The sequence below is a fragment of the Homo sapiens genome, chromosome X, assembly GCF_000001405.40.
Source record: "Homo sapiens chromosome X, GRCh38.p14 Primary Assembly".
NCBI lineage: Eukaryota > Metazoa > Chordata > Mammalia > Primates > Hominidae > Homo > Homo sapiens.
This window is the reverse complement of record NC_000023.11, coordinates 77,762,378-77,785,945: the sequence shown is the minus strand read 5'-3', so window position 1 is coordinate 77,785,945 and position 23,568 is coordinate 77,762,378. Positions and strand designations below refer to the sequence as shown.

Here is a 23,568-nt window from a genome sequence, read left to right as displayed (position 1 = left end):
TGGGCCCAGGCACCGTCTGAGTCGGGTGTTTGGGAAGGCGTTCGCTTGGTGGGTTAGGCCTGTGTGTTGCTTAGCCGAAAGAGGCATCGTTTTCTCTTTAGGTGAGAAGGGTTTCGGGGTATCGGCGCAAGGCTCCGACGGGGGTGGGGGTGGGGATGGGGTGGGGGGAGGTGGGGGGGGCGCGGCCTAGGGTATGGGGCGCTTCTTGCAATCTCCCCTAAACGGTGACGCTTGGTCGGGCTCCTCTGTTTATTCTTTGGTGCCTGTGGGATTGAGACCTCGAAGTCGGAGGCGGTCTTTGGTATCCCGGTCATTTTTGCTAATCTTTGGGCCTAGAAACTGCGTGGGGAAGAAGCGGGGGGAGGGTGAGAAGAGGGGGAGGGGTGGGCGGGCGCGAGGATGTGAGATCCCAGGACGACTTAGAGGCGTTTAGGTTGCTGGAGATGGGAAGCACCCGGGCCCTGCGGGATTTTTTTTCTGCAGCCCCAGGAGACAAGCCTTTTTTTGATTGGGTTGTGGTGCAGTTCCAGGTATTTAGGTATCTTTTCTACTCCATATCCTGAAGGATATCCTTGGGTTTATTTCTAGGCGAGGGGGGACTTAACACAGGGTTTTGCTTCCAGAGGACCCTAGTATACTACTTTTTGTGATGTCCAGCCTTAATGGGACCTCAAGTGTTTCCCCACTTTCTGGGCAAATTTCGAGGAGTAATTAGGCCCTATCTTTATTTACTTATTTATTCCATGAAGGATGAAGGGCAGGTTAACGTGGGCTGATGCGAAGTAAGATTTATTGCAAGGGAAAATGCCTGGCAGGCCTCCTCTTAACCAATCAAGCACGTTTATTAGGTTGAAGCTGTTTTTCTGTGTGCTTCTGATTTGCCTCTTGACGGGTCTGAAAATTTGGGTAGTCAATATGAAATGTATACACTTTTACCCAGGTGGCTGGCTGGCGTTTCAGTTTGACATTTGAATTTTCATCCCACAATGTGAATTAAGTAATTTTTTTACTCGGAGATGCATCCTTGGCGTCCAGTGGCAAAATAAAATTACAAGGAGCATGGGTCAGAATTGCATTTCAAGTTGGCGAAATGTGCCTTTGAGTAACTCTTAGATTGGCATATGTTTTTAGAGCAATTTAGCTAGAATGTAGAATTGGGCAATGAGCCTATGATACGTATGTCTGTATTTCTGCATGAACAAGCAGTAGATTATATTTTCTTTACCTTGGGGAAAGATATGCTTCAGTTCTTAGATTGTAGATCTCTAGTTGTGTACACGATTGTGGCCTTGGTTTCTGAATTTGTCAGTAGGCTCAAATACAACAAATCTTTATCTGTGGGGTATTAGGCACGTAAGTGGTACCCAGTATAACTTGTTGGCCTGTAATTACCAGGCACTCATGTTCATATGCATGGATGGTGTACCTTACAGTTAAATTATGACCTCTAGATTTTACTAAGTTTCACAAAGTCTACATTTGAAACTATAGTTTGAAGTCGGATCTTCTCAGTTTCTTTAGAATGAACAAATTACGTATATAGAATTTCTGAATAGAATAATTAATTTTACACAAGGGTCAGTTTTTCTTACTAGTCTTGGATTTTTGTAGATCTTGATGATAAGAGTAATAATCATAACTAAGTTGAGTGCTTATTGTCGTTCTTTATAATCTTGATGAATTCTCAAACCTGTGAGGTAAGTACTTGGTTTTGCCCATTTTACCGATGAGGAGGAAAGTGAGACATAGATCAAGAACTTGACCGAAGTTATACAGCTTGTAATTGGTGGAGCTGGAATTGAACCCCATCTTGACTTCACAGCTTATGTTCTTAACCACAAGGCATTAATGCCCCCTTCAGCTGCCAGGTCTAACCTGATTATGACCATTTAAATTTAGCCCAAGTGTTACAATGAAAGAAGTTCATATTACCTACTCTGATTTGTTGCAGGTCTATGATTTTGTAGCTGTTTATAATGTTACATTTTTTGTGTCCAGGTGTACTATGTAGTGAGATAACTGAAATATTTAATGCTAGGAGAGTCTTAAGCTACATGAAAAACCTCTAGTAAAGAACTGCATATATGCATGTAGGGAATTAATTAAAAAGTGTGACACTCCCTGATGATTTACTATGAAAGAGCTCCAAGTAGGTGTTCAGAACTGTCTCAGGCTGAAGTGTCATCGATCTCCTAAACCATAATCATGGTTAAAGGAGAATCTGACAGGTAATGCTTGAGTTGAACCCACAGTACCAAATCCCTCTTGAGTCTTTTCTAATGTGAGGCAGAAATAATATAAGCATTATTGTTAATATTATTTTACACAGTAGTTCCAGATTTTCTCTTTATCAAATATTTTGTCAAGCACTTAAAAAGCAGGAACAAAGACTAGTTCTAATTTTTACTTGTGTTTATAAAAAAAAGTAATATTCTAGGATTCTGTGGTGGAAAAATGGCCAGAAGACAAGAGGAAGGAAAATAAACCGATGACCTGGCTAAAACATACACTGACTAATCAGTGGCTCAGTCTTTAAAGGTTTTGTTGTTTTTAAAGGATTTTTTTGGTTGTTTGTGTTGTTTGAAATAAGATTGACTTGCTTCTGGCATTATAAAAGATAAGGTCTTTTATAATCACCAAGCTCTCAATGTAGTACTTGGGTACCTGGGTGTCACTGCTGATTATTTTTTAATTTTTAAATTTATTTTTTTGAGACAGAGTCTCACTTTGTTGCCCAGGCTGGAGTGAAGGGGCGTGATCTTGGCTTACTGCCGCCTCCGCCTCCCAGGTTCAAGTGATTCTCATGCCTCAGCCTCCCAAGTAACTGGGATTAACAGGTGTGTGCCACCACGCCTGGCTAATTTTTGTATTTTTAGTAGAGAGGGAGTTTCACCATATTGGCTAGGCTGGTCCTGAACTCCTGGACTCAAGTGATCTACCTGCCTTGGCCTCCCAAAGTGCTGGGATTACAGGTGTGATCCACCGCGCCTGGCTCTCTGCTGGTTATTCAGGGCCCAAGGGCTCTTCAGTTATCAGGTGATGTATGCTGCTAGGACTGGGACCTTCCCTTCAGGGCAGCAGATTCCCTTCTGGCCCAGGATGTGTCTAGAATTGTCATCCTGGAGCTAGGGCCTGGAATGGAGGCTTCATGACTGATGAACTTTAATTTGTTTTCTTTATTTTTATTTTTTTTGAGATGGAGTCTCACTCTGTTGCCCAGGCTGGAGTGCAATGGCACCATCTTGGCTCACTACAACCTTTGCCTCCTGGGTTCAAGCGATTCTCCTGCCTCAGCCTCCCAAGTAGCTGGGATTACAGGCAAGTGCCACCACACCTGGCCAATTTTTGTATTTTTAGTAGAGACGGGGTTTCACCATGTTGGCCAGCCAGGCTGGTCTCAAACTCCTGACCTCAGGTGATCTGCCCGCCTCTGCCTCCCAAAGTGCTGGGATTACAGGTGTGAGCCACTGCGCTTGGCCTTAATTTATTTGCATATAAAGATTTCAGTATTGGGAGATTTGGTGAAATTTGTCATTCTAATCCTTATGGCAATTGATTACTTGAAAAGCTGACAGCTATATTACCTTGTTATTGATCTTAAATATAAAAAGGCAGAAGTTGTCTAAATTGAGAGATTTTGAATGTCTTAGAAAGTATCTGTTAAGGTGGTAGTTTACAAGCAGTTACATTGTAACCTAATTGTTGAAAAATGTTATCTGTGAAATACTTGCATTTCCACTATGAAAAGCATGAAACCAGGCCCTTGGAGGGGGAGGAGATGCAAATTTTATAAAGGTTTTTAAAAAGCATTTAAATATCAATGGCTTGGTTATGTAATGGGTTGGGGTGAAAAGAAAGACATTTGTGACCTTAATTTTTATCAGGCCCAGTTTTATTATTGGCCACCCTTGGCATAGTTGGCCTTGAGCTTTCAGTTATGTATTGTATTTCTAGAGATAAGATAAATGTAGTACTTAAAATAATATTTAAGTATTGATGTAGGTGTGTGAAATAATTGTTTCATAAGTAATTGTATGTGTCTTTTTCACTTTTGGGGTCTGAATAAACTTATGGGTTGGGTAATAGGATACGGGCAATTCTTGAATTTACATGAAGTGCTTTCCCCCAGACCGTGAATGTTCTTTTGGATATCAGAAACTATTTAAATAGTTGAAGCCAGTGAAAACTGATGCATAGATCTTCCTTTAGAAATGTTGAATATAACAGGGCAGTGAAAGGAGGGTCTAAGCAGTCTGTCTCTAATTTTATCCTAATGCTTGTCTTATGATCAGCTTGGAAGCTGACATGCAAGATGTTTAACTTCTATTTTTCCATCTGTAAAATGGGAATAAGCTCAAATGGGAGTAAATATCAATATTTATCAATAATAGATATTGATAAAGTCTAAAGGTATTCTGAAGGAGGTAACATGTTTGTAACAATGGTTCTTAAAAGAGAAACTAAAGCTCTGGGGTCCTAGTTTTTTTTTTTTTTTTTTTTTTTTGAGACAGAGTCTCACTATGTTGCCCAGGCTGGAGTACAGTGGCACGATCTCAGGTCACTGCAAACTCCGCCCTCCGGGTTCACGCCATTCTCCTGCCTCAGCCTCCCGAGTAGCCGGGACTACAGGCACCTGCCACCATGTGCGGCTAATTGTTTGTATTTTTAGTACAGACAGGGTTTCACCGTGTTGGCCAGGATGGTCTCGATCTCCTGACCTCGTGATTTCCACCCGCTTCGGCCTCCAAAGTGCTAGGATTACAGGTGTGAGCCACCGCGCCCGGCTGTTAATTTTTAAGAGTGAAAAGAGGTGCTGCGACTAAATGGTTTGAGAACTGCTTGTATAGAGGAATGAACACTGAACTGTGAGCCAAGCCTTGGTTTTTCAGTTATAGCTCTGTTGCTTGATTGTATGACTGTGGACAAATCATTTATCTGTTCCAGGCTTCTGCTTTGTCATTTGCAGAACGAACAAGACTAGATGGTCTGTAGCATTAATTTTTTTTTGGGACAAGGTCTCACTGTCACCCAAGCTGTAGTGCAGTGACACTGAACATGGCTCACTGTAGCCTTGACCTCCTGGCTCAAGCAATCCTCCTGCTTCAGCCTCCCATGTAGCTGGGACCACAGGTGTGTCATCATGCCCCGCTAATTTTTTGATTTTTTTGTAGAAACAGTGGTCTCACTTTGTTGCCCAGTCTGGTCTTGAACTCCTGGACTTAAGCGATCCTCCTGCCTTGGCCTCCCAAAGTGCTGGGATTACAGGTGTAAACCACCATACCCTGCCTAAAGTTAGTTTTTAAAAAATTCTGCTTACAGGCCACGTGCAGTGGCTCACGCCTGTAATCCCAGCACTTTGGGAGGCCGAGGCAGGTGGATCATGAGGTCAGGAGTTCAAGACCAGCCTGGCCAAGATGGTGAAACCCCATCTCTACTAAAAATACAAAAAAAAATCATCTCGGTGTGGTGGTGGGCACCTGTAATCTCAGCTACTAGGGAGGCTGAGACAGAGAATTGCTTGAACCCAGGAGGCGGAGGTTGCAGTGAGCTGAGATTGCGCCACTGCAGCCTGGGCGACAGGGTGAGAGTCTGTCTCAAAAACAAAAACAAAAACAAATAAGCAAAAAATTCTGCTTATATGAGTGTTTATCATTTTCTCTTATCTGCCTTTTGTGGGTTAGGGAGAAGGGTAGTGGTGAGATAAAGTTTCTTTATTCAGTGTATTTATATCTTTTTGCCTTAAAACTTACATGGTTAGGTTACAGGTGTTTTGTTGCTGATACTTGTCATAGTATCATGTATACCTGGTTGTATAAACATTTATTGGAAAGGAAAAAACATTTTTGTTGGAAAGTTTGGTAATTATTGTGGCTTAGGATATGTTCTATTTTGAAAGATTGCTATATCCAGTATATTTCTGCCCTTTTATGATTGAAGATGTACGTCTGAAAATACCTATGTTAGTTCTAGCCGGTTGTTCTTTTTGCGCTGGGAAGTCTTTGAATTTTGCACTGTAGCTGCTATTTTCAGATCCTGTCTCTGAAACTTTGTCTCTCAGTTTTAGCTTGAAGTAGCCATTTCCTGTATCTGTAGTCCAGCACTCTTGTTAACTGTCCCATACAATATTTGTTAAGAAATTATTGTTCTGGCAGTAGTATTCACATGTATATATCCTGCACTCCATATTTTGGGGGAATGCTTTATTAGTTGATCAAATACTTAAGTATCAATTTGGGGCCAGGCATGGCACTGTGTTAGGGTTATGCCAAAGGTAATAAAATTCCTGCCATCTTAAGGCATTCTTAGTCAAGTGAGGGAGATTGGTAAGTAAATGAGCAATTAGAAAGCAGTGCTAAAATATGGAAATATATTGATTGCGCTAGGGATCAGAAATGAAAGAAAGCCTAATTTGGGGGATGTCTAGGAAAGTTTTGCAAAGGAGATGTTAACTGTATTGAGTCTTGAATGAGTTAGCAGTTAAGGGTTGACTGTGAGAGGGCAGTCCAGACAGCTATTAGTATGGTTAAAGATTAGTCTTATTTTCCATATATCAGAGGAAATAAGACATGTACACGATTAGTTTTGGTGCAAGATATAAAGTGATAAATGCTGCATGAAGTAAAAGTAAGTTGTTGTGTGAGTTCAAAGTAGAAAGACATTTCTGGTGGGGACCAAGGAAAGCTTTATAGAGAGATAGCATTTGAGCCGGGCGCCGTGGCTCACACCTGTAATCCTAGCACTTTGGGAGGCTGAGGCGGGTGGATCACGAGGTCAGGAGATCGAGACCATCCTGGCTAACATGGTGAAAACCCGTCTCTACTAAAAATACAAAAAAAAAAAAAAAAAAAAAAAAATCCGGGCATGGTGGCGGGCGCCTGTAGTGCCAGCTGCTCGGGAAGTTGAGGCAGGAGAACTTCGTGAACCTGGGAGGCGGAGCTTGCAGTGGGCCGAGATCGCGCCACTGCACTCTAGTCTGGGCAACAGAGCGAGACTCCGTTTCAAAAAAAAGAAAAAAGAGAGATAGCATTTGAATCTAGTCCTTGGAATATAGGTACAGTTTTGACAAAGGAGACTGTGGGAGAATTCCAGATGTGAGGAGTAGCAGCTTGAGCAAAGGAATGTTGTGTATATTAGCATTTTCTATTTGGAAGAAGGTCAACATCGAATTTTAAACTTAATTTCTGGACAAATACTGTATAACTATTGTGCCTTTTTTTTTTTTTTTGAGACGTAGTCTCGCTCTGTCACCCAGGCTGGAGTGCAGTGGCATGATCTTGGCTCACTGCAACCTCCGCTTCCCGGGTTCAAGCGATTCTCCTGCCTCAGCTTCCCGAGTAGCTTGGACTACAGGCGTGTGCCACCATGCCTAGCTAATTTTTGTATTTTTAGTAGAGATGGGATTTCACCGTGTTGGCCAGGATGGTCTTGATCTCCTGACCTCATGATCCGCCCGCCTTGGCCTCCCAAAGTGCTGGGATTACAGGCGTGAGCCACCGCGCCCTGCCTATTGTGCTTTTTTTTTTTTTTTTAAGAGACAGGGACTTCCTCTGTCACCCAGCCTGGAGTGCAGTGGGGTGATCATAGCTCATAGCTTACTGCATCCTAGAACTCCCGGGCTCAAGTGATCCTCCCACCTGAGCCTCCTGAGTAGCTGGGACCACAGGCATGTGCCACTATGCCCAGCTACTATTGTGCATTTTGTATGGTAGCTTTTGTGGCTTGATGATCTTGTAAAAGGTACATGTGCCTTTGTGAATGGGCCTGATAATTTTAGTTCAGAATTGTCAAAAGTATTATCTACTTTTTTTTTTTTTTTTGAGACAGAGTCTCACTCTGTCACCCGGGCTCAGTGGCACCATCTCAGCTTACTGCAACCTCCACCTCCTGGGTTCAAGCGATTCTTCTGCCTCAGCCTCCGAGTAGCTGGGACTACAGGTGTGAGCCACCATGCCTGGCTAGTTTTTGTATTTTTAGTAGAGACGGGGTGTCACCATATTGGCCAGGCTGGTCTCGAACTCCTAGACCTCGTGATCTGCCCACCTCGGCCTCCCAAAGTGCTGGGATTACAGGCATGAGCCACCGCGCCTGGCCAGTATTACCTACTTTTAAATAAGATTGTGTAGGATTTAATGCACAGATTTTGAATCACTGTGATAAAAATGCATCCTTAGTTGTCTTCATTTTGCTCATTTGAAGTGCTCAGTTGACTTTTGGGTGGGTAACATTTGACTTATAGAATCTAAGATAAAAAATTATTTCTGAGTAATACTGGATTTGTTATTTTGCTTATTTGGATTATATTAGTTATTTTTTGGTTTATTTGATAGCATTCCAGATTTAGTTTTGCTATAATGCTTGTTTTGAAAATGTGGATTTTTTCCAAAAGGGTTGATATTTCAGGGAACAATTTGAAGCATACGACAAAATTTGCATTTGCTTATGGGGGATTTTGTCTGCAGGGTCAGGGATCAGCATACTGTGGCCTACCAACCAGTGGCCTGTTTTTTGTAAATAAAGTTCTTTTTTTTTGTTTTTGATCTTTGTTTTGTTTTGTTTTGTTTTGTTGAGACGGAGTCTTGCTCTGTCGCCCAGGCTGGAGTGCGGTGGTGTGATGTCCGCTCACTGCAACCTCCGCCTCTTGGGTTCAAGCGATTCTCATGCCTCAGCCTCACGAGTAGGTGGGATTTCAGGCATTTGCCACCACGCCTGGCTGATTTTTGTATTTTTTTTTTTTTTTTTTTTTTTTTTTTTTTTAGTAGAGACAGGGTTTTACCACATTGGCCTGGCTGGTCTTGAACTCCTGACCTCAGGTGATCCGCCTGCCTTGGCCTCCCAAAGTGCAGGGATTATAGATGTGAGCCATGTAAATAAAGTTCTATTGGAATACACCTATGTCCATTTATTTACATTGTCTGTGGCTGCTTTTGCACTGTAGTTGCAGAGTTGAATAGCTGCAGCAGAGACCTAGTAGCCCACAAAGCCTAAAATGTTTACTGTCTGGCCCTGTATTGAAAGAGTTTGCTGATTATTGTGCTAGATGAATGCAGGATACTACACCCCTCTAAAAAGAGCTGCATAGAAATACATGCATATAGATGCACACACGTCTGACATCTACCAGCTACCTCATTTCACCACTTGGGTTATAAACCACACATATTTACATCTGTTGTACAATTTTCAATCCGATTTCAGATAACCTTCCTTCTACCACTTCACAATAATTCATGAGCTGCAACCCTTTTGATGCCCACTTCACAAGCAAACTTCAGGTCTTTTTCAAAGTAAAGTGCCACATTTATTGTTATATTTGAGCATTTATTATTTAACATGTCAAACTGTGCTACCATTTTTCTTTGGTTTCTTTGTTTTAAAAAAAGTCACTGATGAAATTTTTGAATGTTGTGCTTCTAACCTCATTTTTCCTATGAGTTCTATGGTGTTAATTGCACAATTTTACATAGTTTGGTGGTTTTTAGGAACCCATATGTTACATTATTGAGGAACTGACTAATTATCATCCTGTAAAAAGTACTAATTCATTCACCAAACATTTCTGGGGTGATGTAAATATTAAGTGAGTTAAATGGGCATAAAGCACTTATGTCTTTATTGTTACTCAAATATTAGTTATTACTGATTACTATTACCATGTGTCAGGAACTGTAATAAGTAGTGCATTGATGAACAAGACAGATAAGGGACCTGTCTCCATGAAGCTTACATTGTATTTTTAAAAATCTATTAATATACATTTTGGCTAGTAACCGAGCCCTTGCCCCACAGAAAAGTTGTGCTGTTACACAAAATAATATTTTAAGATCCATCCACAAGTCAAAGACATTTCACTTAAAACAGCTTTCTCAGCAGTGTCTCCTTGATAGGGTATAATATTTTATTGAATTATTGTTTTTGGCTGGGTGCAGTGGCTCATGCCTGTAATCCCACCACTTTGGGTGGCCAAGGCAGGTGGTTCTCCTGAGGTCAGGAGTTCAAGACCAGCCTGGCCAACATGGTGAAACCCCGTCTCTACTAAAAATACAAAAATTAGCCGGGCGTGGTGGCGCATGCCTGTAATCCCAGCTACTCAGGAGGCTGAGGCAAAATTGCTTGAAGCCGGGAGGCAGAGGTTGGAGTGAGCCGAGATATCACCACCGCACTCCGGCCTGGGCGACAGAATGAGATTCCGTTTCAAAAATAAATAAATAAATAAATAAATAAATAAATAAAGAATTATTGTTTTTAATTTTTGTTTTTTTCTGAGATAGGCTGTTACTCTGTCACTCAGGCTGGAGTGCATTGGTGCAGTCATGGCTCACTGCAGCCTCCGCCTCCCTGGTTGCAGGTGATACTCCCACCTCAGCCTCCCGAATATCTGGGACTATAGGTGCATGCCACCATGCTGAGTTAATTTTTGTATTTTTTTGTGGAGATGAGTTTTTGCCATGTTGCCCAGGCTGGTATCGAACTCCTGGACTCAAGCTATCTGCCCTCTTTGGCCTCCCAAAGTGCTGGGATTATAGGCATGAGCCACCAAACCTGGCCATGTGATTGTTTTTTTGTAACTGTAACCTCAGGAGATGAATCCGATCTATCTTTAGGGAGATAAAGAGTAATCATCCCTTCCTTTTTTTACTGTATAAAAGGTTACAAAATATAATTTCAGACTTGTAGAAAATTTGTAAAAATAGCACAAAGATTCTCAGATGTGCTTCATCCAGATGCAGCAAGGGGTAACATTTTACCATGTTTACTTTATCATCCTCTATTATTATTTTTCTGAATTGTTTCAGAGTAAATTGCAGACATGATGTCCCTTTACTCCCAAATACTTTAATACATATTTCTCGAAACTAGGAATAGTCTGTTACATGATCCCAGTATAGTTAGCAAAATTAAAAATTAGCATTAAGGCTGAGTGCGGCCTCCCACACCTGTTATCCCAGCACTTTGGGAGGCTGAGGTGGGAGGATTGTTTGAGGCCAGGAATTCAAGACCAGTCTTCTCAACATAGACCCTGTCTCTACAAAACAAACAAACAAACAAACAAACAAACAAACAAAAGTACTAAATTAGCCGGTGTGGAGCATGCCTGGAGTCCCAGCTACTCAGAAAGCTAGAGTCAGGAGGATCACTTGAGCCTAGAAGTTCCAGGCTGCCATGAACTATGATCATGCCACTGCAGTCTAGTGTGAATGACAGAGTGAGACCCCCATCTCTTAAAATAAAAGAGAGATTAGCATTGATACAATACCATTTTTTTTTTTTTGAGACAGAGTCTCACACTGTCGCCCAGGCTGGAGTGCGGTGGCGCGATCTTGGCTCACTGCAAGCTCCGCCTGCTGGGTTCACGCCATTCTCCTGCCTCAGCCTCCCGAGTAGCTGGGTCTACAGGTTCCCGCCATCACGCCCAGCTAATTTTTTGTATTTTTAGTCGAGACGGGTTTTCACCGTGTTAGCCAGGATGGTCTCGATCTCCTGACCTCATGATCCGCCTGCCTCGGCCTCCCAAAGTGCTGGGATTACAGGCGTGAGCCACTGCACCCGGCCGATACAATACCATTTTTAATCTACAGACCTTATTCACATTTTACCAATTGCTTCATGACATCCTTCATGATGAAAGACAAAAAGTTCTTGTTTTCTGATCTACCATCTAATTCTAGAACACTCATTATATTTCATTGTCATCTGGAACAGCTCACCTTGCCATTTTTTTTTTTTTGAGACAGTTTTGCTCTTGTTGCCCAGGCTGGAGTGCAATGGCATAGTCTTGGCTCACTGCAACCTCCATCTCCCAGGTTCAAGTGATTCTCCTACCTCAGCCACCCGAGTAACTGGGACTACAGACATGCCCCACCACGCACGGCTAATTTTGTATTTTTAGTAGAGATGGGGTTGCACCATATTGGTCAGGCTGGTCTTGAACTCCTGACCTCAGGTGGTCTGCCCGCCTCGGACTCCCAAAGTGCTGGGATTACAGATGTGAGCCACTGCGCCCGGCCTCTTCTCCATTTTTAAAAGAACACAGGCCAGTTGATTTGAATTTGTCTGATGTTTCCCTTTGATTATATATTTTGGTAGGAACACTATGAAGTGATGTTTTGTCCTTCACAGCACATTTTATCAGGAGGTGTATAATGCCTTTGCTTTTACTATGTTTTAGAATGATTTTGCTTTGTTTTTTTTTTTCTGAGACAGAGTCTTGCTCTGTCGCCCAGGCTGGTGTGCAGACGTGCGATCTCGGCTCACTGCAGCCTCCGCCTCCTGGGTCCAGGCGATTCTCCTGCCTCAGCCTCCTGAGTAGCTGGGACTACAGGCGTGCACCACCATGCCCAGCTAATTTTTATATTTTTAGTAGAGACGGGGTTTCACTGTGTTGATCAGGATGGTCTCGATATCCTGACTTCGTGATCCGCCCGCCTTGGCCTTTCAAAGTGCTGGGATTACAGGCGTGAGCCATCGTGCCTGGCCGATTTTGCTTCTCATGCTAAAATTATTAATCAGCTCATTCTCTGCCATTTTATTTAGAGGTTTGAAGTTTGGCTTGATTAATTTCTACAGAATTGGGGAGAGTTTTCCCACCTCCCATTTTTCTTGCTTTTTCCATTTCCTCCTTCCTCAGATACCCCCAAAGTTCAAAACCAACCACCCCGATTATGAATTTTCATTTTGTATTCTGAACATATAGCTAAAAGCAGAGAATTAAGGGTGAATGTTTCATGTTAAAGTGATTGGACCTGTTGTTAAGCATATGAAATAATATATTTCCTTCAAAGGCTGACTATACTATAGTGCATCCAACATAGCTTGTTGAATATCTCAGTTCTTTTTTTTTTTTTTTTTTTTTTTTAGCTGAAATTTGCCACAGGGAAATATCTCTCCAGCCTGGGCAACATAGTGAGACTCTGTCTCAAAAAAAAAAAAAAAATTAGCCAGGTGTGGTGGTGCACAACTGTAGTCCTAAATACTTGGGAGGCTGAGGAGGGAGGATCCTTTGAGCACAGGAGTCTGAGGCTGCAGTGAGCTATGATTATACCACTGTACTCTAGCCTGGGAGACAGAGCAAGACCCCGTCTCTCAAAAAAAAAAAAAAATTGGTGGTGAAATACACATACCACAAGATTTAGCATTTTAACCATTAAAAAAGTTTGTTTTTGGCTGGGTGTGGTGACTCACGCCTTTGGGAGTGATCCCAGCACTTTGGGAGGCCGAGGCGGATGGATCACGAGGTCAAGAGATGGAGACCATCCTGTCCAAAATGGTGAAACCCTGTCTCTACTAAAAATACAAAAAAAAAAACTAGCTGGGCATGGTGGTGTATGCCTGAAGTCCCAGCTACTCGGGAGGCTGAGGCAGGAGAATTGCTTGAACCCAGGGGGCAGAGGTTGCAGTGAGCCGAGATGGCGCCACTGCCCGCCAGCCTGGAGACAGAACGAGACTCTGTCTCAAAAAAAAGCTTTTTTTTTTTTTTTTTTGAGAGAAGGGATCTCGCTATGTTTCCCAGGCTGGTCTCAAACTTCTGGCCTCAAGCAATCCTTCTGCTTCGGCCTCCCAAAGTACTGGGATTACAAGAGTGAGCCACTGTACCTGGCCTCATTTTTCTATTTTGATAAACACTTTTTTTTTTTTTTTTGAGACGGATTCTTGCTGTGTTGCCCAGGCTGGAGTGCAGTGGCATGATCTTGGCTCACTGCACCTCTGCCTCCCGGGTTCTCTGCCTCCCGGGTTCAAGCAATTCTGCCTCAGCCTCCTGAGTAGCCGGGACTACAGGCGTATGCCACCGTGCCCAGCTAATTTTTTTTGTAGTTTTAGTAGAGACGGGTTTTCCCCATGTTGGTCAGGATGGTCTCGAACTCCTGACCTCAGGTGATCCGCCCGCCTCGGCCTCCCACAGTGCTGGGATTACAGGCGTGAGCCACCATGCCTGGCTGATAAACACTTTTAAGGCTTAACATGAGCTAAGTATTATTTTAGAACAGATTGTCTCAACCTTGGCACTATAGACATTTTGTCCAGAAAATTTTTTGTTAGAGGCTGTCCTGTGAATGCATTTTATCCCTGACCTCTACCCACTAGATACCAGTAACACCCCTACCCTGAGTTGTGACAAGCAAAAATATTTCCAGAAATTGCCAGATGTTCCCTGTGGGCGGTATGGGTTTGAGAACCACTTTTCTAGATAATAGGCATTTGTAGATAATGAATACTGAGCTAAGTGGAGGAGTAAATGGTTGAAATAGACTATGTGGTTAAGTACAGTTACAGAGATATAAACCAAGAGATGTGGAAGAATAGCAAAAAATTTCCTTAGAGAGTTGATAGCAAGTATTTTCCCAAGAGAGACAGCAATTCTGAGTTGGGTCATTGGGGATGGTGGGGGGAAATGTGCTGAGGAGGGGGAAATATTCTAGGTGGTGGAACGGGTTATGTCTAGAGATACGGTAGAGGAGCCCTTGGGTGCCTTGAGAAAAATGAGATAATAAGTATGATTGGAGAGAATATGGGAGGTAGAATTGGAAAGAAGGATGCTAGTTGGGGTCAGGTTTGAGAAAGGCTTTTTTTTTTTTTTGAGACGGAGTCTTGCCCTGTCACCCAGGCTGGAGTGCAGTGCCTCACTCGGCTCACTGCAACCTCCGCCTTCTGGGTTTAAGTGATTCTTCTGCCTCAGCCTCTTGAGTAGCTGGCATTACAGGTGCGTGCCACCACTTCCGGCTAATTTTGTATTTTTAGTAGAGACCGGGTTTCACCATGTTGGCCAGACTAGTCTCAGAACTCCTGACCTTGTGATCCGCCAGCCTCGGCCTCCCAAAGTGCTGGGATTACAGGCATGAACCACCACGCCCGGCCGAGAAAGGCTTTTTATGCTATGCTAAAATGTTTCATTTTCCCCCTTTCATTATAGAAAATCAACAAATACTTTTAAAGTCTGTAGAGTTATATGATCAGCTTTTTAAAAGAATAGTGATACAGTGAAATGGTAAAAATGGTCAATGGTGAATATTAAACTCAAGAAGATAACTCTAGCCTGTAAAGTAGGAAAATAGGAAGGGATGGAGATTTATATAAAACTAAAACTAGATGTCATATGTTGCCCTTAAATCACATCACCCTGTGTGTAGACTTCTTCATCCTCATTTGTCAAAATTCTGACATATTGTCAATACTGATGAAGATTCTTGATATTCAAAGCAGGAGTGAAGTGGGCAAAAATCTGTATTCTAATTTTCATTACCCTAATAATGTCCTTTTAATTTGGAGCAGTTCTGTGGCCTCTCTTTGTCTGTCCTGATCTTGACATTTTTGAAGAGTATAGAACAATTATTTTTTAGAATGTATCTCTATTTGGGTTTGTGTGATGCTTCTTTATGATTAGATGAAGGGTATGCATTTTTGGAAGAAATAACAGAAGTGATGGTATGTTGTTTTCAGTGCCTCTGTAACAGGAGATGCATGACATTGGTTGGTCCCATTACTGATGATGGTAATTTTAATCACTTGGGTGGTTTCCAGTAGATTTTTCTATGTAAAGTTTATCATTTTTGGCCGGGCATGGTGGCTCACGCCTGTAATGCCAGCACTTTGGGAGGCTGAGGCAAGCAGATTACTTGAGGTCAGGAGTTTGAGACCAGTCTGACCAATGTGGTGAAACCCCATCTCTAAAAAAATACATAAATTAGCCAGGCATGGTGGCATGCGTCTGTAATCCCAGCTGCTCAGGAGGCTGAGGCAGGAGAATCACTTGAACCCTGGAGGTGGAGGTTGCAGTGAGCCGAGATTGTGCCACTGCACTTCAGCCTGGGTGACAGAGTGAGACTCCGTGTCAAAAAAAAAAAAAAGTTTATCATTTCCCATTTTTATTTTGAAACAGTCTTGCTCTGTTGCCTAGGCTGGAGTGCATTGGCACAATCTCAGCTCACTGCAGCCTCAACCTCCTGGGCTCAAGTGATCCTCCCACCTCAGTCTCCTCAGTAGCGTGTTCCACCACACCCGGCTGCTTTTTGTATTTTTTGGTAGAGGTGGAGTTTCACCATGTTGCTCAGGCTGGTCTGGAACCCCTGAGCTCAAGGGCACTGATCACCTCAGCCTCCCAAAGTGTTGGGATTACAGGTGTGAGCCACCACGCCTGGCCCTGAAAAATATTTTTAACGGTTACATTATCATGGAGAATTGGATGGTATAAAACAATAGCAGTTCTCATATTTGAAAATAAATTGATGTAATGAAACAAATGAGAGGATCAAATAATATTGTAAAAAGAATAAAAACCCACATATGGACAGGTCTGTGGAAATTGTATTAAAGCCTACCTCTCCCAGATTGTTTCCGTTTGTTGCAATCCATTTAAGAACAGTTTTTGGGCTGGGCACGGTGGCTCACGCCTGTCATCCCAGCACTTTGGGAGGCCCAGGCAGGTGTATCATGAGGTCAGATTTCAAGACCAGCCTGGCCAACATGGTGAAACCCTGTCTCTACTAAAAATATAAAAATTAGCTGGGCATGGTGGCATGCACTTGTAATCCCAGGTACTCGGGAGGCTGAGGCAGGAGAATTGCTTGAACCAGGACTCGGGAGGTGGAGGTTGCAGTGAGCCAAGATAGCACCACTGCACTCCAGCCTGGCCTGGGCTACAGGGTGAGACTCAGTCTCAAAAAAAAAAAAAACAAACAAAAAACAGTTTGTGGGAAAAAACAATCCTTGTGTATGACATAATTTGCTGCTTTTCCCATTTAGAAAATTTAAAAAATACTTATTTGAGATGGGGTCTCACTATGTTGTCCAGGCTAGGGTGCAGTGGCTATTCACAGGTGTGAACATAGTACACTACAGCCTCGTACTCCTGGCCTTAGCATCTTGAGTAGCTGGGACTGCAGGTGCACATCACAGTGCCTCGCTTACTTTTTCCATTTTTGTCTGTTGATCCTCTCTCTCTTCCTTTGGGGTAAAAATTGTGGCTTGTGATGGTGGTTTGTGGGGAAAGAAAAAGTTGGTAAGCTACAAGCTCTGAGCCTTTAATGTGTTTTTGTTAACCATGCAGACAGACATTAGATACATAGATACAACATAGATGAGTTAAATTTGAAAGAAGGCACCAAACTTTGTTACTTTAAAGCAGGATTTCTCAAAGGGACACTGTTGACATTGATTTCAGAAGTGAGATTTTCATGGTTTTTAATGTTATTATTATAATGGTATGGATAGTGTTTTGCCCTCTAAGAAGTAGCTAGGAGTGTTTCCATAGATGCATTTAGTTTATATCACTTATGTATTCTGTCTCTATTTTGTAAGAAAATTGCCTATGAACAGAATTTTTTCTGTATGTGGATTTAATGTCTTCTTCTAAAGGAAACATGGGTGTGGTTCACATTTCCTTAGTTTTGAGTAGCATGGCTTAAGTTGTGATCCAATTTTAAAAAATCAGTTGAATAAATAAATAGAAAATAAAAGGATAATTTCTGTACTAAAAAAGTCAGCTGGACAGTTAAAACATCTCCTTTTATTCGTAAGTTTTTCAATAAAAATTGTTAAAAGCAGTATTCATTTGTGTAATGATATAATCTTTGTTATTGTTTTATGTGCTTTTCTAAAATGCAGGAAACATAAGGTAAGGAGAAGTCTTTCCTTACCCTGGGACCAGATGTCTATGAGGACTGTTGACTTTTCTGCTATAAACAGGATGATAAATTAACAGTGGTGTGATAGGTAAAGTAGATTTGTTATGACATATCTTCCATTAAGCGATAATAACTTGATTTTTACTTAGTTGATGAAATAAAATAACTTTGAAACCTTGGGTAACATGAAATTGAATCAAAATATTTTCAAGTTATGGAACATAGTGTTATTAATAGAATGGAGTGTTGAAAAAGCACTGGATTATGCTTTCTGTAACTTTTAGTTCTGGGTCTTATGATAACTGTGACCCTGAGCCTCAGTGTTTTCCTTTTAATCTGTAGTGATATTTTTTAGTTCAGTCTCTCATTTTAAACTGCTTTTAGCTCTAAAATTTTATCTCAGTGACCTGTTGAGTTATATAACAATCGTATCAGGTAACCTAGATAAGAAGAGGAAGGCAGTAACATTTCAGAAATACAGTTTGGGGTTGGGAATCCTTAAGTGATCCAGACTTCTCCTTTGGTCCGAAGATAGTGTGAATAAAACAGCTGAGGGATGTGGGCATCAATATATTGCAGAGGAAAAGGTTATTTCCAGGAGTGGATTTGCAGCTACTCTTAAATCTATTATGTTGGGGCTGGGCACTGGGGCTCATGGCTGTAATCCCAGCACTTTGGGAGGCTGAGGCGGGCGGATCACCTGAGGTCAGGAGTTCAAGACCAGCCTGGCCAACGTGGTGAAACCCTGTCTCTACAAAAATACAAAATTTTGCCGAGCATGATGGCGGGTGCCTATAATTCCAGCTACTTGGGAGGCTGAGGTGAGAGAATTGCTTGAACCCAGGAGTCGGAGGTTGCAGTGAGCTGAGATTGTGCCATTGCACTCCTGCCTGGGTGACAGAGCGAGACTCTGTCTCAAAAAGAAAAAAAAAATCTATTATGTTGGATAGATGGTCTTTTCCAGAAGCAAATTTTATAGATGGAAAGCATTTTAATTAATCTAGTAAAATTCTCTCATTTTACAAATGAGGCTCCCTCTACCTCTCTCCCCCTCTCCCCCTCTCCCTCTCTCCCTCTCTCCCTCTCTCCCTCTCCCCACGGTCTCCCTCTCCCTCTCTTTCCACGGTCTCCCTCTGATGCCGAGCCGAAGCTGGACTGTACTGCTGCCATCTCGGCTCACTGCAACCTCCCTGCCTGATTCTCCTGCCTCAGCCTGCCGAGTGCCTGCGATTGCAGGCGCGCGCCACCACACCTGACTGGTTTTCGTATTTTTTTGGTGGAGATGGGGTTTCGCTGTGTTGGCCGGGCTGGTCTCCAGCTCCTAACCGCGAGTGATCCGCCAGCCTCGGCCTCCCGAGGTGCCGGGATTGCAGACGGAGTCTCGTTCACTCAGTGCTCAATGGTGCCCAGGCTGGAGTGCAGTGGCGTGATCTCGGCTCGCTACAACCTCACCTCCCAGCCACCTGCCTTGGCCTCCCAAAGTGCCGAGATTGCAGCCTCTGCCCGGCCGCCACCCCGTCTGGGAAGTGAGGAGCGTCTCTGCCTGGCCGCCCATCGTCTGGGATGTGAGGAGCCCCTCTGCCTGGCTGCCCAGTCTGGAAAGTGAGGAGCGTCTCTGCCCGGCCGCCATCCCATCTAGGAAGTGAGGAGCGCCTTTTCCCGGCCGCCATCCCATCTAGGAAGTGAGGAGCGTCTCTGCCCGGCCGCTCATCGTCTGAGATGTGGGGAGCGCCTCTGCCCCGCCGCCCCGTCTGGGATGTGAGGAGCGCCTCTGCCCGGCTGCGACCCCGTCTGGGAGGTGAGGAGCGTCTCTGCCTGGCCGCCCCGTCTGAGAAGTGAGGAGACCCTCTGCGTGGCAACCGCCTCGTCTGAGAATTGAGGAGCCCCTCCGCCTGGCAGCCGCCCCGTCTGAGAAGTGAGGAGCCCCTCTGCCCCGCTGCCACCCCGTCTGGGAAGTGAGGAGCGTCTCCGCCCGGCAGCCACCCCGTCCAGGAGGGAGGTGGGGGGGTCAGCCCCCCGCCCGGCCAGCCGCCCCGTCGGGGAGGTGAGGGGCGCCTCTGCCCGGCCGCCCCTGCTGGGAAGTGAGGAGCCCCTCTGCCCGGCCACCACCCCGTCTGGGAGGTGTGCCCAGCGGCTCATTGAGAACGGGCCATGATGACAGTGGCGGTTTTGTGGAATAGAAAGGGGGGAAAGGTGGGGAAAAGATTGAGAAATCGGATGGTTGCCGTGTCTGTGTAGAAAGAGGTAGACATGGGAGACTTCATTTTGTTCTGTACTAAGAAAAATTCTTCTGCCTTGGGATCCTGTTGATCTGTGACCTTACCCCCAACCCTGTGCTCTCTGAAACATGTGCTGTGTCCACTCAGGGTTAAATGGATTAAGGGCGGTGCAAGATGTGCTTTGTTAAACAGATGCTTGAAGGCAGCATGCTCGTTAAGAATCATCACCACTCCCTAATCTCAAGTACCCAGGGACACAAACACTGTGGAAGGCCGCAGGGTCCTCTGCCTAGGAAAACCAGAGACCTTTGTTCACTTGTTTATCTGCTGACCTTCCCTCCACTATTGTCCTATGACCCTGCCAAATCCCCCTCTGCGAGAAACACCCAAGAATGATCAATAAAAAAAATAAAAATAAAAATAAAAAAAATTAAAAAAAAATGAGAAAATTGAGCTCTCCTGAGGTTGCAGTTTGCTTAACAGCATAGATCTAATTAGTAATTAGGACTAGAACCAAGGTTATCTGACTCCCAGTTCAAGGTTCTTGGTACAGTACCGTGTTTTTAACTAGTCCATTAGGTTGTTTTCTGTGTATTTTATAACACTTCTGTAAGAAAGTGGAATATTTTTCTCTAAGGTATGTTAAAACTCTTGTTCGAGAAAATACAGTAAAGGATACCTGTTGTATCTTAAAGTGATTTTTATGTTTTTCTGTCAATGCCACAATCTGAAGAAAGTAAATTAGCTACACTTCTATTGCTGTGACAATAGATTATTTAGAATCTTCTTGATTACTTGTATTATTGTTCCCGTGCTTCAGAGCTGTTTCCTTGCTATTTAAAATCATTATGGTATAGCCCAGAGGCTAAGGGGGTTTTCTAAGAGTATGCAATTTGTCATTGACATAGTTTTTTTGTTTGTTTTTGTTTGTTTTGTTTGTTTTTGAGACAGAGTTTTTGCTCTGTTGCCCAGGCTGGAGTGCAATGGTGTGATCTCGGCTCACTGCAACCTCCACCTCCTGGGTTAAAGCAATTCTCCTGCCTCAGCCTCCCGAGTAGCTGGGATTACAGGCACCCACCACCACACCTGACTAATTTTTGTAGAGGCAGGGTTTCACCATGTCGGCGAGGCTGGTCTTGAACTCTTGACCTCATGTGATCCACCTGCCTCGGCCTGTGAGGATTACAGGCATGAGCCACCGCACCCTGCCAACACAGTTGTTTTTGATTGGAAAAGTTTATTTTCCTAATCTCAAAGTAGCTTGTATCTGTTCTTTATTGTGAAATGCAGTTTCTACATTGAATTTGTGTAGTCTGTAGTTTTGACTGTTTTAAGTTCAATAACTAGCTTAGTAGTATACTTGTTAGAGGTCAGAGTAGGTTAACTACTAGAAAGAACAGTCCTTCTGCTTACTGTACTAGGAGGAAGTCTGTGGTGGAGGGAAAAAAGGAGTAAAACAATTCCAGTCTTCTGTAAAATTTGAGTAATTTCTTTCTCTACTCCTTCTACATGAAAAATACATCTTATTTGATTTTTGCATCACATGCCTTCTATATGTGTTGGAATCTGGATCACCATTTCTTCATTACTTGTGGGTTTTTGTTGTGAAAAATGTGGAGTAAGTTAGAAGTTGACTGTAGAATAGGTAACATTCTCTTAAATTCTTTGATCAGAGTGAGCAGAGTCCAGAAGCTTGGCTCAGACTTAGGGAACTCATGACACTTCTCTTAATATCCTAAGTTCATGACATGTCTCTTAATACCCTAAGTGTACAATACAATAGTAGATCAAGGAAGGCAGAGGTATCTGGCAGACTTAGAAGTAACTGTTCATAAAAACAAGGATCAGTATGTTTCTACAAGATAATGATTTAAAGTTGAGCCAGGATTAGTTATACCTTTAATATAAAAAATTGAAATAGCTTATTTAATCTGTTCTAGGCTATAGTATACGGAGCTAGGTATTAAAACATTCTCTATATATTTAACTCTTTTTTTTGAGACAGGGTCTCACTCTGTCTCCCAGGCTAGAGTACAGTGGCATGATCTTGGATCACTGCAGCCTAGACCTCCTGGGCACAAGTGATTCTCCCACCTTAGCCTCCACAGTAGCTGGGACTACAGGCCTTTGCCACCACACCTGGCTCATTTTTGTATTTTTTGTTGAGACGGGGTTTCACCTTGTTGCCCAGGCTGGTCTTAAACCCCTAAGCTCAAGTGATCCGCTTGCCTCAGCCTCCCAAAGTGCTGGGATTACAGGTGTGCACCACTGCGCCCAGGCTATTTGACTTTTTTATTCTGTAAAATTGCAAGCATATTCAGAAATAAGAAAATAGTATAACGGGGCCGGGTGTGGTGGCTCACGCCTGTAATCCCAGCACTTTGGGAGGCTGAGGCAGGTAGATCACGAGGTCAGGAGTTCGAGACCAGCCTGGCCAACATGGTGAAACCCCGTCTCTACTAAAAATACAAAAATTAGCCAGGCGTGGTGGTGGGCGCCTGTAATCCTAGCTACTCGGGAGGCCGAGGCAGGAGAATTTCTTGAACCAGGGAGGCGGAGGTTGCAGTGAGCCGAGATCGTGCCACTGCACTCCAGCCTGGGTGACAGAGCAAGACTCATTTTTTTTTTTTTTTTTTTTAAAAAAAAGAAAAAAGAAAATAGTATAATGGGTTGGGCCCGGTGGCTCACGCCTGTAATCCAGCACTTTGGGAGGCCAAGGTGGGCGGATCACCTGAGGTCAGGAGTTCAAGACCAGCCTGGCCAACATGGTGAACTCTTGTTTCTACTAAAAACACAAAAATTAGCTGGGCATGGTGGCAGGCACCTGTAATCCCAGCTACTTGGGAGGCTGAGTTAGGAGACTCACTTGAACCTGGGAGGTGGAGGTTTCAGTGAGCCAAGATTGTGCCATTGCAGTCCAGCCTGGGCAACAAGAGCGAGACTCCATCCCAAAAAAAACAAAAAACAAAAGACAACTATATATATATATATAAAATAACGAAACCCCCTAAGTACCTGTCACCCAGCTTCAACAATTATCATCTTGCAGTTAGTTGAATTTGGTTAACACTTACCCTTCAGTGGATTATTCTAGACTAAATTTCCAAACATAATCATATTGTATTGAAGTGTTTTTTGAACAAACTATACTATGGGGTATTTACCTAAAATGAACTATTTGCAAAAAGATAAGTTGATTTTTTTTCTTCTGGTGCCAGTACACATCATAATTGTAGTTAAAAGCTATTATCCTCACATTAAAGTTTAATTTTTAACACATTATGAAAATTTAAAACTTACAGCAAAGCTTTAAAAATTTTACACTGAACACCAATATTATTAACATCTAGATTCTACCTTTAACATTTTACTCTTCTTTTTTTTTTACTCTTCTTGTTTTATCACATATTGATCCATCTGTCCAACTCTCCATTGATGTAACATTTCATTTTATTTTCTTATTCATTTCAAAGTAAATTACAGATATTAGTATAGTTGAGGTTCAGTTTTTAAAGTCATATTTTCAACTAATTGTTTTTCCTGTTTTGAAAGACTGTTATATCTGAAGTTCCACATTATGACAACTCATAGTCTCTATGGTTCCAGTGCTTCCCATTTTGAACTTTTCTTTCATGTTCTACGAACCTTTATTAAAATATTTAGAGCTATGTACAAGTAATATATACAGTATTTAGCTAAAACTAAGTAGAATGAATGAGGGTTTTGCTTGTGTG

At 42.9% G+C, this 23,568-nt stretch overlaps 1 protein-coding gene across 11 annotated transcripts in view, besides 1 other annotated feature; it reads left to right on the top strand.

Moving 5' to 3' along the window:
• Positions 1–23,568, top strand: part of ATRX (ATRX chromatin remodeler) — a 281,337-nt gene that overhangs the window by 271 nt on the left and 257,498 nt on the right. The window lies entirely within an intron of this gene.
• Positions 67–116: a silencer, noted in NCBI's record as "silent region_20908". NCBI's record gives its function as "represses an Ori minimal core promoter by ATAC-STARR-seq in GM12878 lymphoblastoid cells {active_cell/tissue: GM12878}" and the evidence as "EXISTENCE:reporter gene assay evidence [ECO:0000049][PMID:35858748]".